At 44.4% G+C, this 13,525-nt stretch overlaps 1 long non-coding RNA gene across 22 annotated transcripts in view; it reads left to right on the top strand.

Moving 5' to 3' along the window:
• LINC01837 (long intergenic non-protein coding RNA 1837) overlaps positions 1-13,525 on the top strand; it is a 234,720-nt gene that overhangs the window by 168,367 nt on the left and 52,828 nt on the right. The window contains exon 11 of one of the 22 annotated variants that reach the window (XR_001753919.2): positions 6,167-6,286. The exons of the other annotated variants lie outside the window; for them this stretch is intronic. This is a non-coding gene — a long non-coding RNA (long intergenic non-protein coding RNA 1837). Of the gene's footprint in view, positions 1-6,166; positions 6,287-13,525 lie in introns of those variants that run through there. 22 annotated transcript variants of the gene reach the window in all.

Here is a 13,525-nt window from a genome sequence, read left to right as displayed (position 1 = left end):
ATAGGGTTAGGGCATATTTTTTTGCAGGGCACAATGATATACCAGGAAGATCGAGGAATGCAGGTGAACTGGATTCTTCCCTGGGCTTTGCTACTCATTTTGGTGAGCTCTTGCATAAGTAACTCAGCTGGGGAATATGCTGGCCTGATAGAGGGAGAATGGGACAATGTACCCCCACCCTAGGCAGTGTGTACCCACATAAGCTAGAGGAGAATGGCAGGGCTTGCATTCGGAAAGGGGTTGTCAAGAGAACCAGATTAAATGAGAAGGTTGGGTAAGGGAGACCTTTTTTTCAATACTGGAGCACTCTCCCAGGCATGGAAAATATGTGTCTGCCTGAGAAAGACCCCAGGAGAAAAAAAAAAAGAATAGTTCACACTAAGGTTAAAATGTGAGTATTTTTGCAAAAGTGAGAATAGAAAATATTTAACAATTTAGAGAGGGGGACATGCTGAGAGCATGTACCATGTAAGACAGATAAACCCTCCAGAGAATGATGTCCCATGGAATGACCCAGAAGGCTCCCAATTTCCCAAAGCCACCAGGAATGCCCTGGTGGCAAAGGCACCAGTGTCACTGAGGAGTTTGGTGGTGGCATGCCTCAGCAGGCCAGGGCAGACTTTAGGAGAGGCGCTGCAGAATAAGGCTCACTGAGAGTAATGGGGATGTTAGGATTCCTCAAAACAATAGAGTCCAGATGGTGATGCTTAAACACCAGAAGCCAAGAAGATGCAATTATCTTAATGAGTAGCCATGGTGGCAGGGCAGCCAGGTTGGCCTGTCCTACAGAGAGATATGGAGATGGTTGATAGAGCAAGATTGTCCTTAAAGGCAGCCAACACAGGTATTACTCAATTACTACTACTCAGTTTTTCTTGATTTCTAAAGAAATCAAGAATGATTGATTAAGGAGGCTGAGGAATTGCCACAATAAAATGACCAAATACTGTGCCCGGTTTTTGGATCTGAGCTATTTTTTGGAACTGGAACCCTTCAGTCCAAGGGTTATGGTCCAGCATAAAAAATATATGGTCCAGTATATTTTTTATACTGGACCATAACCCAATATAAAAATATTTTTTATTTTAACCCTTCAGTGGAAGGGTTCCCCATGCAAAAATATACTAGTTCATATATATATATATATATATATATATATATATATATATATATATATACACACACACACACACCATATATATATACACACACCATATATATATACACACCATATATATATATATACACACACCATATATATATATATACACACACCATATATATATACACACACACACACACACACACACACATACACACACACCATTTATATATATACCACACCATATATATACTCAAGAGGAAGGACCCTGGAGGACCCTGGAGCACTATGGCAAGTGTTGATTGTTACGAGCATCCAGTTCTTCCTCAAAGAGAACTTTAGCCATATACTTGGGTAACTACATTCCAGAAAAAGGGAAGTAGGCAAACATTTCAAGCAGTGTCAGGGGACATTAATACTTGAAGACTTAAAGCATTATCATGGCCTTACTATACAACTGGAGGTACAATGGAACTAGGTAATAAATGGAGTCCTGGTCAAAACCACCCACCCAGGTTCTAAGTCCCATTCAAGTCTGGCAGCCTTTCAAGTCACCTGGGTCATAGCAAAATTCCCAGGTATACAATTTTTTTTTTTTCTTCTAGAATCCAAAAAGCCTACCAGACATTGTGCTTCCTTTTTCATGGTGGGAGATACAAAATGCGATTATTTCTCCTTTAATTTAAATGCAATGTTTTGACATGCCCTTGACGGCTGAACTCCTAAAAGGTTTACTGATGTAGTAGACCCCTGAATCTTCATAGGGTTTATCTCCCAAACTCTAGACCACATATATCTCACCAAGGTCTCCAACATGCTACATATGTCTTGCTTATCGGGTCCTATTATCGTATTTGCTATGGAATAGATCATTGTGATTTTTTGCTGGATGTCAACATAGGACCGATTACTTTGGTCTATATTAGTCCAAAGTGCATCTATTTTGATTATACATTCAGGGTTTGGGAAAATAACCAATTTACTTGGCTTAAAGCATTACGCATTTATCAGGTGATTTGAAAGGTTGTCAGATTTGAATGGGACCTAGAAACTGGGTGGGTGGTTTTGAACAGGGCTCCATTTATTACTTAGTCCCATTGTACCCCCAGTCATATAGTAAGGCCATGATAATGCATTAAGCCCAGTAAATTGGTTATTTTCCTAACCTCCAAATGTAAAATCAGAATAAAGGCACTTGGTAGTTGGTGCAAGTTCCTTGCTGAGCCCTTAGACTGTAGAGTAAAAACTGTCATAGTGAGGGGAGCCAAGAGAAGACTCTGAAAATGCCCCTCACCCTGCTCCTGCCAAGACAATAAAAACAGTATTATTTCAGGGGGAAGGAGATGGGAAGCATTAGCCCCACTCTTACAAACCTAACAGATGTTGCAGGGGTGGTGGTTTCTGTCAGAGATCCATTTAATTTACCAGTGTAGCCCCTGCTAAAACCAGATGTATCCTGAAAAATAACAGTGAGCACCACAAACTCAACCACGTCATAACCCTGATCGCAGCTGCCATGCAACTGTGATGTCTTTGCTGGAGTTGATTAACATGGCCTCAATTCATGATATGCAGCATTGATTTAGCAAATGTGTTCTCTTCCATACCTATCAGAAATGATCAGAAATAGTTTACATTTACATGGAACAAACAACAGGATACATTCATAGATTTCCCCAAGGCTCTGTTAACTTTCCTGCCCTCTGTCATAATGTGGTCCAAAGTAATCTGTCCCATGTTGACATCCAACAGAAAATCACAATGATCCGTTCCATAGCGAATACGCTAATAGGACCAGATAAGCAAGATATGTAGCGTGTTGGAGGCCTTGGTAAGTCATATGTGAGCCAGAGTTAGGGAGACAAAGCCTATGAAAATTCAGGAGTCTGCTGCATCAGTAAACATTTTTAAGAGTTCAGTGGTCAAGGAAATATTACAACATTGCCTCCAAACTAAAGAAGAAATGATTGCACATTGCATCTCCTGCTGTGAAAAAGGAATCACAATTAGCTGGGCGTGGTGGCACATGCCTCTAATCCCAGCTATTCCGGAGGCTGAGGCGGGACAATCACTTGAACTAGGGAGGTGGAGGTTGCAGTGAGCCAAGAGCCAAGATCATGCCATTGCACTCCATCCCAGGCGACAGAGTGAGACTTTGTCTCACAAAACAAACACATAACAATAACAACAACAAAAAACAAGGAAGCACAATGGCTGGTAGGTTCTCTGTTTCTCTGGATTCTGGAAGCAACAAAATGTATACCTATACTGCGCTGACCCAGGTGACTTGAAAGGCTGCCAGATTTGAATGGGACCTAGAACAAGAAAGAACTCTATAACAGGTTCTGTCTACAGGTGTGAGCAGCCCTGCCATTTGGGCTATAAAACTCAGCAGACCCATTGGTAGTAGAGGTATATCCCAGCACTTTGAAAACACACCATGTGGAGTTTATGGCAAGCTCCAGTGAGAGAATCACTAGGATTCTGGGTCAAGGCCATGGCATCTGCTTAGGGAAAATTATACACCATTTGAAAAACAACTTCTGATTGTCTTATGGGCCTTGGTAGAGATGACACACCCGATCATGGGACACAAGGTGAACATGTGGCCATAGCTGCCCATCAGGAGCTCATCTGTCAGACTCAGCAACTCCTAATGCTAGTCAAGCCTGGAAACAAACTATCAGAAGGTAGAAAGGGTCCACCTGGGATCCAGTATGAGGAGGACTGGATGGCACAGGGAATTTGCATGAGCAGGTAGTCCAGATCCACATGTCACCCTCCACTGTTATGTCAGCACCTTTTCCTCAGATAGCTCCTCCTGCTGTAGAGGGGATCCCTTGTGACCAACTGATGGAAGACAAAATGGCCTGAGCTTGGTTCACAGAAAGGTTAGACTTGCATGAGGGTGCAGGCTGAAAACAGATGGTGGCTGCACCATGGTTCCTCTCAAGGATTGCCTTGAAAGACAGTGATGAGGGAACATTCTTCCAAGGGGCAAAGCTCAGACCATCCTGGTCATCCACTGTGTATGGGAAGAGAAGTTGCTCAAGGTTAGAATATCCATATGATGCCATAGGCTGAATGGTGAATGGCTCCGTTGTCTGGTCAGGGCCTAGAAGTAGCCAGAGTAGATTGCACCTGGGAGCTTCAAGGCAGAGTCATGAGGCTGGGCATTTTGGAGCAGGCACAAAGTATGAAGATCTGTGTATTGTGTATTAATGTCCAACAGAGAGCTTTCAGCGTAATAGTGGCACTAAATGATCACGTAGACAAACTGACTTAGTCAGCTGATGCTAGCCACCCTGTATCATCAGCAACCCCAATGATGGCATGATAGCAAAGTACATGAGCAAAGTAGCTATGGTGGCAGGGATGGCTACTTGCATGGGCCCAACAGCACAGGCTCTGGCTTACCAAGGCCAATCTAGCTGTTGCTGCTATTGCCTGTCCAAAATGCCAGTAACAAGGACCCATGTTGAATTTCTGATATGGCACCATCCCTCAAGAGGACCACCTGGATACATGTTGGCAAGTTGATTACACTGGGGTCCTCCACCCTGGAAGGACCAGTGACTCATTCCTGTGGGAGCGGGGTTCTTATTTCATGTATGGGACTTTATTTCCCATTAAGCTTCAGTGACAGCCACCATTCGCGCGATTACAGAGGGCTTGATACACTGGGATAGGATCCCATATAGTGTCACATTGGTCCAGGAGACCCACTTTAAAGCAAAGGAAGTTATGGGATTGGGTCCATGGCCATAAGATTAACTTGTCATGTCATATACGTACCATCCAAAGTTGCTAGTCTAACATGCACACACATGTTCATTGCAGCACTATTCGCAATAGCAATGACATGGAATCAATGTCAAGATTACCTTGTCATGTCATATACGTACCATCCAAAGTTGCTAGTCTAACATGCACACACATGTTTATTGCAGCACTATTCACAATAGCAACGACATGGAATCAACCTAGGTGCCCATCAGTGGTGGATTGGATAAAGAAAATGTGGTACATATACTCCATGAAATACTACATAGCCATAAAAAGAACAAAATCATGTCCTTTGCAGAAACATGGTTGGAGCTGGAGGCCATTATCCTAAGCAAATTAACAGAAGAACAGGAAACCAAACACCCAATGCATGTCCTCATAAGTGGGAGCTAAACATTGAGCACCAATGGACATAAGCATGGGAACAACAGACACTGGGGCCTACTGGAGGGTGGAGGGTTGGAGGAGGGCAAGGACTGAAAACTATTGGATATTGATATGGTTTGTCTTTGTGTTCCCACCCAAATCTCATCTCTAATTGTAATGCTCATGTGTGTAGGGAGGGACCTGGTTGGGGGTGATTGGATTATGGCAGTCATTTTCCCCATGCTGTCCTCATGATAATGAGGGAGTTCTCATGAGAGCTAATGGTTTAAAAGTGTTTGGCAGTCCGCCCCCTCCTGCTGCCATGTAAGACGTGCTTGCTTCCCCTTCACCTTCCACCATGATTATGTTTCCTGAGGCCTTCCCAGCCATTTGGAACTGTGAGTTAATTAAATCTCTTTTCTTTATAAATTACCCAGTCTCAGACATTCTTTATAGCAGTATGAAAATAGACCAATAGAGACATTATGCTGATTACTTGGGTGACAAAATTATCTGTACACCAAACTCCTTTGACAAGCAATTTACCCATGTAACAAACCTGCACATGTACCCCTTGAACCTAAAATAAAAATTAGAAAGAAAAAAAATTGCCTAATAAAGTGTTGAAAAGGTCTGTACGAAGCACAACTAAGGTACCAGCTTAGATGTGATCATTTGTAAGGATGGGGCAGCAATCATTCTCCAGGATGCAAAAAACACTTTAAGATATTTATTTGATGCTTTACTAACATATATATATATACATATAAAATTATATTTACCCAAAAGTTGGAAAATATCCACACACCTAGGAACCAAGGGATGGAAGCAGGATTGTCTTCCTTGCTGTCACACCCATTAACTCACTTGGGGAGTTTGTGCTTCCTGTACCCACAACTCTGTGTTCTTCAGGTTTATAGGTCCTGGGTCCCAAAGAGGAAGCACCTTTGCCAACAGACAGAGCCAGAATAAACAGTAATTGCCACCTGAACACTTGAACTCCTTGTGCAAAGAACCCGCAGGCAAGGGAAAGAGTTACCATCTTGGCAAAGGATGGGTTGTGGTGGGTGCTGCCCAGATTCACCTTCAATGGAGACATAGCGCCTCATTCCCAGCAGGCAGGCAGGCAGGCAGCCTGCAGTTACTATTCCCTTCAGGGATTGCCTCAGCTGCCGATGGGTGGCTCACCAGGGTGGGTCACATTCAATGACAGATCAATCCAGAACCATGAAGGCCTGGACAGCTTGGGAGAACTCTGAAGGGCCATTCTAGCTCCTGAGTTTTGCAAGGAGCCAAGGCCATTGTTAGGCTTGCATTGCATGTTGATTTTTCCTGTTGTTCACTCCTGCTTGTGTCCCCTCCTCAGGTGCTGATGTCCAGGGTGGACCTTAATACACCTCCTGCACCCTTAACCCCACCTCAGAGTTGCCCTCTTTCCCAGAGAACTCGACCTGCCACAGATGCCACCAATTCTGAACGTTTGAGTTGCATCCTTGTGGTCTGGTTTCATTTTGTTTTGAACTCCACAGGTGATTCTGATACCCAGCCAGGTTTGCATTCACAATATCACTGATTCACAATATCACTGAATCACTGCAGACCCCTCCCCAGTGCCTCCTGCCCAAATTCACTGGCAGGTCCCTTGCAAGCTCCTTTGCACATGGCAGATGCCGCGAGGGTGACTCGGGGGAGGACTTTAATGTCCAGGTGCTTCCAGACAAAAACCAAACAACAGATGGTTGGAAAACCAGTGGGTGGGTCCTCATGGGCATGTGAAGGAGAACCAGGAAGGATGAAGAAAGGTGGAGGGTCTGTAATTCCATCTAGAAGGGATTGGCTGCTCACCTCGTCCTAACATCCTGAGACATAAAGAAGTAACTGTTTCCCAAGACAACAGTGCAGTGCACACCGTACCTCTTCCTGTGCTTCAAAAATCCTGGTCTTGGATAGATGCAGCAGGTCATAGTTCTCTGGAATTTTTGTTTGTTTGTAAGCCTCTTTGTTTAGCCATGACTCAGGCTCCCCTCTTCCTCTTGGCTGCCTCATTCTCCTCCTGGTTGGAGAAGAGGTCTTTGAGGATAATACTGCATTGAGAGTAGTCAGTAAGAAGGGTTGAACATGGACCAGAATGAAGTTTATTGATCCAGTAGAGATTCCATCTTGAGCACCCAGGGTTAAGGAAGACAAGTAACCCAGATTAAAATGGCAAGGGCATGACGACCCAGCATATGCTGGTGAAACATCAGGAGACAATGGCATGACCCAGCTAGACGGAGGCAGGATGAAGCTGGGTCCCTTGGCAGGGAGGAGTAGAAAAGAGAAGAACGAGAGAGACAAGGAAAGGGGCCCTCTGTGGGACAAGAAGGCAGCCTCAGCCATGACTGGAGAAAACGTCCCTGAAGGTCATATTCTGGCCAAATGCAGATAAGATCGGGTCCTCTGTGGGTTGGGCAGGAAACGGGCATCTTTCTAGTTGTTGCTGGGGTCACTCGTATTGTTACATCCAGCCTTTTGTTCTCAGCACCCTGTAAAGAGTAGGCTAATGAAATAGACCAGCTGGACTGTGCCTGGACTATATTTATGCATATTCTGAAGGTTCTGAGTTTGAATAATTGATTACCTTTTGCAAGGTAACACTGTGGTTTTGGTCATAAGAAATTCACGCAAGGCTGTATCCACCCACCTCGGCTTAGTACTCACCCACCTCGGGAAAATCTGCTCTTTCAATTAGCGGTGTGCATGAATATATCTGGTGTATGGATGCAGTTAATAACAGAGCCGGTGCAGACTACTGGGTGAGACTTCTGTAGGGGGCTTAAAATATGGAACATTGCTGCTAAAGACCTTCCCAGATCTTGGCTGGGTGAGGATGGAGATTGGGCTGTGTTCACAATGTGTGGTCATGCATAAATATTAGCCTTAAATAACTATGAATACCTTGTTTCCTAAAAAGATTAGTGGCTCTTCCCTGTGTGATAAATTGTGTGAGTTACCGTGCAGACCTGTCTTCCCACTGTATTATCCCACAGCCTTTTAAATAACCGAGCCCAGATTATGCTCAGGGAGCTGTGCAGAACGCTTCGGCAAGCTTTAGGCAGAGAAGTATAATTTGGGTTCATTCTTCTTCTGTTTCTACCTTTTTCTCGTATGCCTTTATTTCATTCTCACCTTAGTCTTTTTCTTTGATTCCTTCTCTTTCTCTGAATCTCTTATTTTCCCCTTCCATCCATTTACCTCTGAATCTCAGACTTTCTTTTATCCTCATGTTCATGTAATAATAATCATAGCTAACTTTTATGAAGTGTTCCCAATGCTTAGAGTTAATAAAGTGCTAAGCCCTTTACCTCTACTAGTTTATTTACTTCTAATGACAACCTTGAGACGGATACACTCTTTGACTATACCCATTACGGAGAGGAGTTAACTGAGGCACAGAGAGATTCAGGAACACACTCAAAGTCACACAGCTTATGAGGAGGTGGAGCCAGGATTTGCCCCATGTCTGCCTAACCTCCCAGACAGGGCTCCAGACGCTAGAGTGGTGGTGTAGCGCTTCTTGTTTCTCTAAGGCATCTCCTGGGGTAGAGAATAAAACCCTTCCTTCATTATGAACATACATTTTAGGGATGCACTGAGATATCCCAGCTCCCTAGATTAAGTGATGGGGTAACAGGTACTACCCCAGCTCCACCCAGGTCAAATGAAATGGAGAAATCACCACCAAGATTGAGGGGATCCTCTTACAGTCAACCCACGTGGTTGCCCCTTGGGAGGTCTTTGCAGGGTCCTCCTGTCTCTGTTCTCTGTTTGCATTAACTGATTTTCTTGGGGCTAGTGTAACAGAACTGAAGTAGACCTGATTACTTGGTGGCCTGGGGTATACTCAGGGGAGAGAAGAGCCAATATGATTGGTCTTAAAGAGATGCTTCATTGAGCTCTTAACACTTAGGGCCCAGCCTGCAATAGGACATGCTCTCTCCAACTGAGCATAATTAAAGTAGACACATATTTTGTTGTCTTTTCTCTTTCCTTTTATAATCTACTTTATTAAAATAAATGTATATGCAACAGAGGGTGCAATTTGATGAGTTTTGACATACGTAGACACCCTCCCTTCTAGATATAAACCATTTCTGTCCCTCTAGAGAATTCCTTCCGTCTCCTAAGTCCATCTCTATACTCCTTGCAGAGGCAGCCACCGATCTGATTTCTGTCCTCACAGCTGGCCTTTGCCTGGTACAGCACTCCGTAGAAAGGAGTCATACAGTGCACACTTTTTTGTGTCTGGCTCAATGTGACATTTTTGAGATTCTCTTATTCCCTCATATATTAGGGTTTTGTTCTTTTCATTTTTGCTTCTAAATAGTATCTCATATTGTCAACATAAAACAACTTGTTTATCCACTCCTCAGTTGGGGGACATTTGACTGTTTTCAGTTTTTGGCTATAGGAATAATGTGGCTATGAATATTTTTGTATAAGTCTTTTTGTAAATAAGTTTTCATTTCATTTCCTCCTCCTCCTCCTCTTCCTTGTTGTTGTGGTTGTTCTTCTTCTTCTTTCTCTTGTTCTTCTTCTGCTGCTGCTTCTGCTTCTTCTTCTGCTGCTTCTTCATTGTTATCATCGTTGTCTTCTTCTCCTCCTTCTCCTCCTCCTTCTCCTCCTTCTCCTCCTCCTCCCCCTCCTTCTTCCTCTTCTGCTCCTTCTTCTGCTTCTTCTTCATCGTCATCATTGTTGTCTCCTCCTCCTCCTCCTTCTTCTTCTTCCTCTTCTGCTGCTTCTTCATTGTCATCATCGTTGTCTTCTTCTCCTCCTTCTCCTCCTCCTTCTCCTCCTTCTCCTCCTCCTTCTCCTCCTTCTCCTCCTCCTCCCCCTTCTTCTTCCTCTTCTGCTCCTTCTTCTGCTTCTTCTTCATCGTCATCATTGTTGTCTCCTCCTCCTCCTCCTTCTTCTTCTTCCTCTTCTGCTTCTTCTTCATTGTCATCATGTCATCTTTGTCTTCTTTGAAAAAAGCTTTGACTGGAATTGTGTGGGTCAAATGGCAAGTGTTTGTTTAACTTTATAGCAGTTTTCCAAAGTGTTTGTTCCATATTACATTCCACCAGCAATATACAAGAGTTCTGGTTGTTCCACATCCTTGTCTACTTTTGGGACTCTCAGACTTTTCAATTTTAGCCACTATACTGGATATGAAATAACATCTCATTATGGTTTTAGTTTGCATCTCACTGATGACCAATGATGTTGAACGTCTCTTCATGTGCAAAATGTCTACTTGTATCTTTTTTTTTTTTTTTTTTTTGAAACAGAGTTTCACTCTTGTTGCCCTGGCTGGAGTGGGATGGTGTGATCTCTGCTCACTGCAACATCTGCCTCCCTAGTTCAAGCGATTCTCCTGCCTCAGCCTCCTGAGTAGCTGGGATTACAGGCATGCACAACCATGCCTGGCTAATTTTGTATTTTTTTAGTAGATACGGGGTTTATCCATGTTGGTCAGGCTGGTCTTGAACTCCTGACCTCAGGTGATCTGCCTGCCTCAGCCTCCCAAAGTGCTGGGATTATAGGGGTGAGCCACCATGCCTGGCCTACTCATATCTTTTTTTGGGTGTGAAGTGTCCATTCAAGTCTTCTGCCCATTTTATACCTTGAGGTGATTGGCTTTTAAAATTATTGATTTGTAGGAACTCTTTACATATTACAGAACTAAGTCTTTTGTCAGATATATGCAGCATGCATATCTTCTCCCAGGCTTTGGTTTGACTTTTACTTTTCTTTGTTTATTTTTGTGGCAGGAAGAGGGAAACTCAGATTTCTTCCTTGCAAGAGCTGTTCTTAAAGCATGAATGTTCAGTAACTGGGATAAATTTCTGGGATGGTTACATTGGAATCGGGGCCTGGAGCCAAGTTTTCTGAAAGTGACCAAGGCCAGTGGTGGCAGGCTGATGGCTTATGAGGACAGTGAAGACAGCCCTTTGACAAATCCCAGATATATTTGAGAGGGTGGGGAAGAGAATGCTACAACCTTGCTGAAGACTAGAGTTATTGCCCGAGCTGGTAAGGGATTAACAGTATTCCACAATTAGTCTGAATGGAACCTCACTGTTTTCTACAAATACAAAGCTTGGGGGATGTTTGTTTTCCTAAACCTCTCTTTAGCATTTGAAGGCTAAGTGCTTTGCAAATGTTTCACTAAATCCTCTCAACAGGGAAATGAGCTCAGGCATAGCAAAATGGAGTAAGTTGTTCAGAATTCCACAAGGTAGCAAGTGGTAGAGCCTAGACTGAGTCCACGGCTGTTTTGCTCTGGGCCCAAGTCTGACTTCCAATCTACACTGCTTCCTCAGATCCACATCCTGGGCCCTAAGTGTGCTCTCTGCAGCTGTACTGAGCAATTTAAATCCCTCTCCCTCCAGACTATCTAGTAAATAAGTGCCATAAAATGTTAAATCATCCTTTCCCTCTAGGCTCAATGTTCTGGGTCTCCTAACACCAAGCCTTGACTGGCTTACTTTCCAAACTCTTTGCTGTTCTCACAGCCCTGTTCTGATCCAGCTTCAGTTTCTCAACTGAGATGCCCAGGGATGGGCACAGGATGCCTAGATATGCTGTCTATCTGCAGTATCTCTCTGCATGCAGTGGACTTTCACTATGGGGCTATTGTGGAGTCCTAGGAAGAGGCACAGACCACGCTGTCTTTCTGAGTTGGTAACCAGAGCACTTCACTCACTGGTGATCTATCGAGCACCTGCCATTGACAGCAGGACAGAGATATCAGAGCAGTGGACACAGCCAAGAGGCCCCCTGTCCTCCCCATCCCACCTCAGTTTCGATTTTAGTAGATCACACAGGCAGCATAAAATAAACATGCAATTGAAATCAATATAAATTGTGTAAGTTTCTCTGATGGAAATAAGTAAGGGCGATATGACAGAGAAATGAGGGAGGCACCCTGCGTAAGATGAGTGAGCCGAGGACACTGACCCCTGAGCTGTGACCCAAAGCCTGAGGATTCTCTCAGTAGGAGCAGAACATTCCCGGCAGAAGCAGCTCCATTTGAAATGCAGCAGTTTGGAAATGTCCACCAGATATTCAAAAGTAGATGTCATTGAAGCTATAAGCCCCTGGAAGGTCTGGGCTGGAGATTTCAGGGCAGTCAACCCACAGAGATGGCATTTAGTGCTTTGGGACTGGATGGGATTGCAGGATGAGTGTGGAGGGGAAAGGAGGAAAGGGCCCCAGACAGAGCTCAGGGGAGCATCAGAGGTTTGTCTTAAGGAAATTGAATAGACCAGGAGCAAGTGGAGGAGGCAGAGAGGAGAAGCCAGTGGAGCAGGAGGAGGGCAAGAGTGGGCGTTGTCATAGCAGCCAGGCATGCACACAGCCCAAGCATTCAGGGCGAGAGAGCACTTGCCTGGGCCCCCTGCCCTTGCGGCTTTAACCCAAGAGAGAGTTTAACCCATCTTTCCTAGCACTTTCCTTGGGCCAATCTCGTGCCCACTTCTCCACTCCCAGACCTTCTAGTTGTGTAGTCCACTCTTGGCCAAATGTTTTCTGAGAAACGATTGAAGATGGAATCGGCATCCCATCCCTTCAGTGGTCTCCTTCCTGAGCAGGACCGTCACTCCTTATTTGCTTGGTGGAATCCCCTCACACCCCTTCTTGCCCAGCTCTTTCCTCAAGTGGTTCTTCACTAAGAGCTTTCTTGACGACAACCAAGCTTTCTTGATGACAGTCAAGAGTCACGTTCCCTTGATTTGAAAACTTCTATCCCTGTCTTCTTGCTTATAATTTTCTAAGAATCCGTCATCTGCAGAATCCCACCATCACTTTCATTAACAAGAAGTGGGAGGTTTTCACGGGCAGGTAGAAGAGAGCTAAACACTAAGAGCACAAATCAGTACATTGTTCCCAGCATGATAAGGAAATCACTGTAAGACCCAGAAGCACGTGCCAGTGGATGAAGTGAGGCAACTAAGCAGCAGTGAGCAACCACTGGGATCTCTCAGAGGCAGGAGGCGGGACTTGACTCTGGAGGCGGGGCTCAGGCACATGACCAAACTGAGGACTGGCTAAAACAGGTCCTGGGTGGAAGCAACTTTCCATCAGACACGCTGGCCGGTGCGCCATGTCAGTTTACCGTTGCCATGACAACAGCCGGGAGTTACCACCCCTTTCCATAGTAATGACCTGATGAACCAAAAGTTACTACCCTTTCCCTAGAAATTTCTACATAAACAGCCCCTTACTCTGCATGTAATTAAAAGTGGGTAT

This window comes from Homo sapiens, chromosome 19 (assembly GCF_000001405.40).
Source record: "Homo sapiens chromosome 19, GRCh38.p14 Primary Assembly".
NCBI lineage: Eukaryota > Metazoa > Chordata > Mammalia > Primates > Hominidae > Homo > Homo sapiens.
The sequence above is the reverse complement of the archived record's forward strand: the minus strand, read 5'-3'. Positions and strand labels throughout refer to the sequence as shown.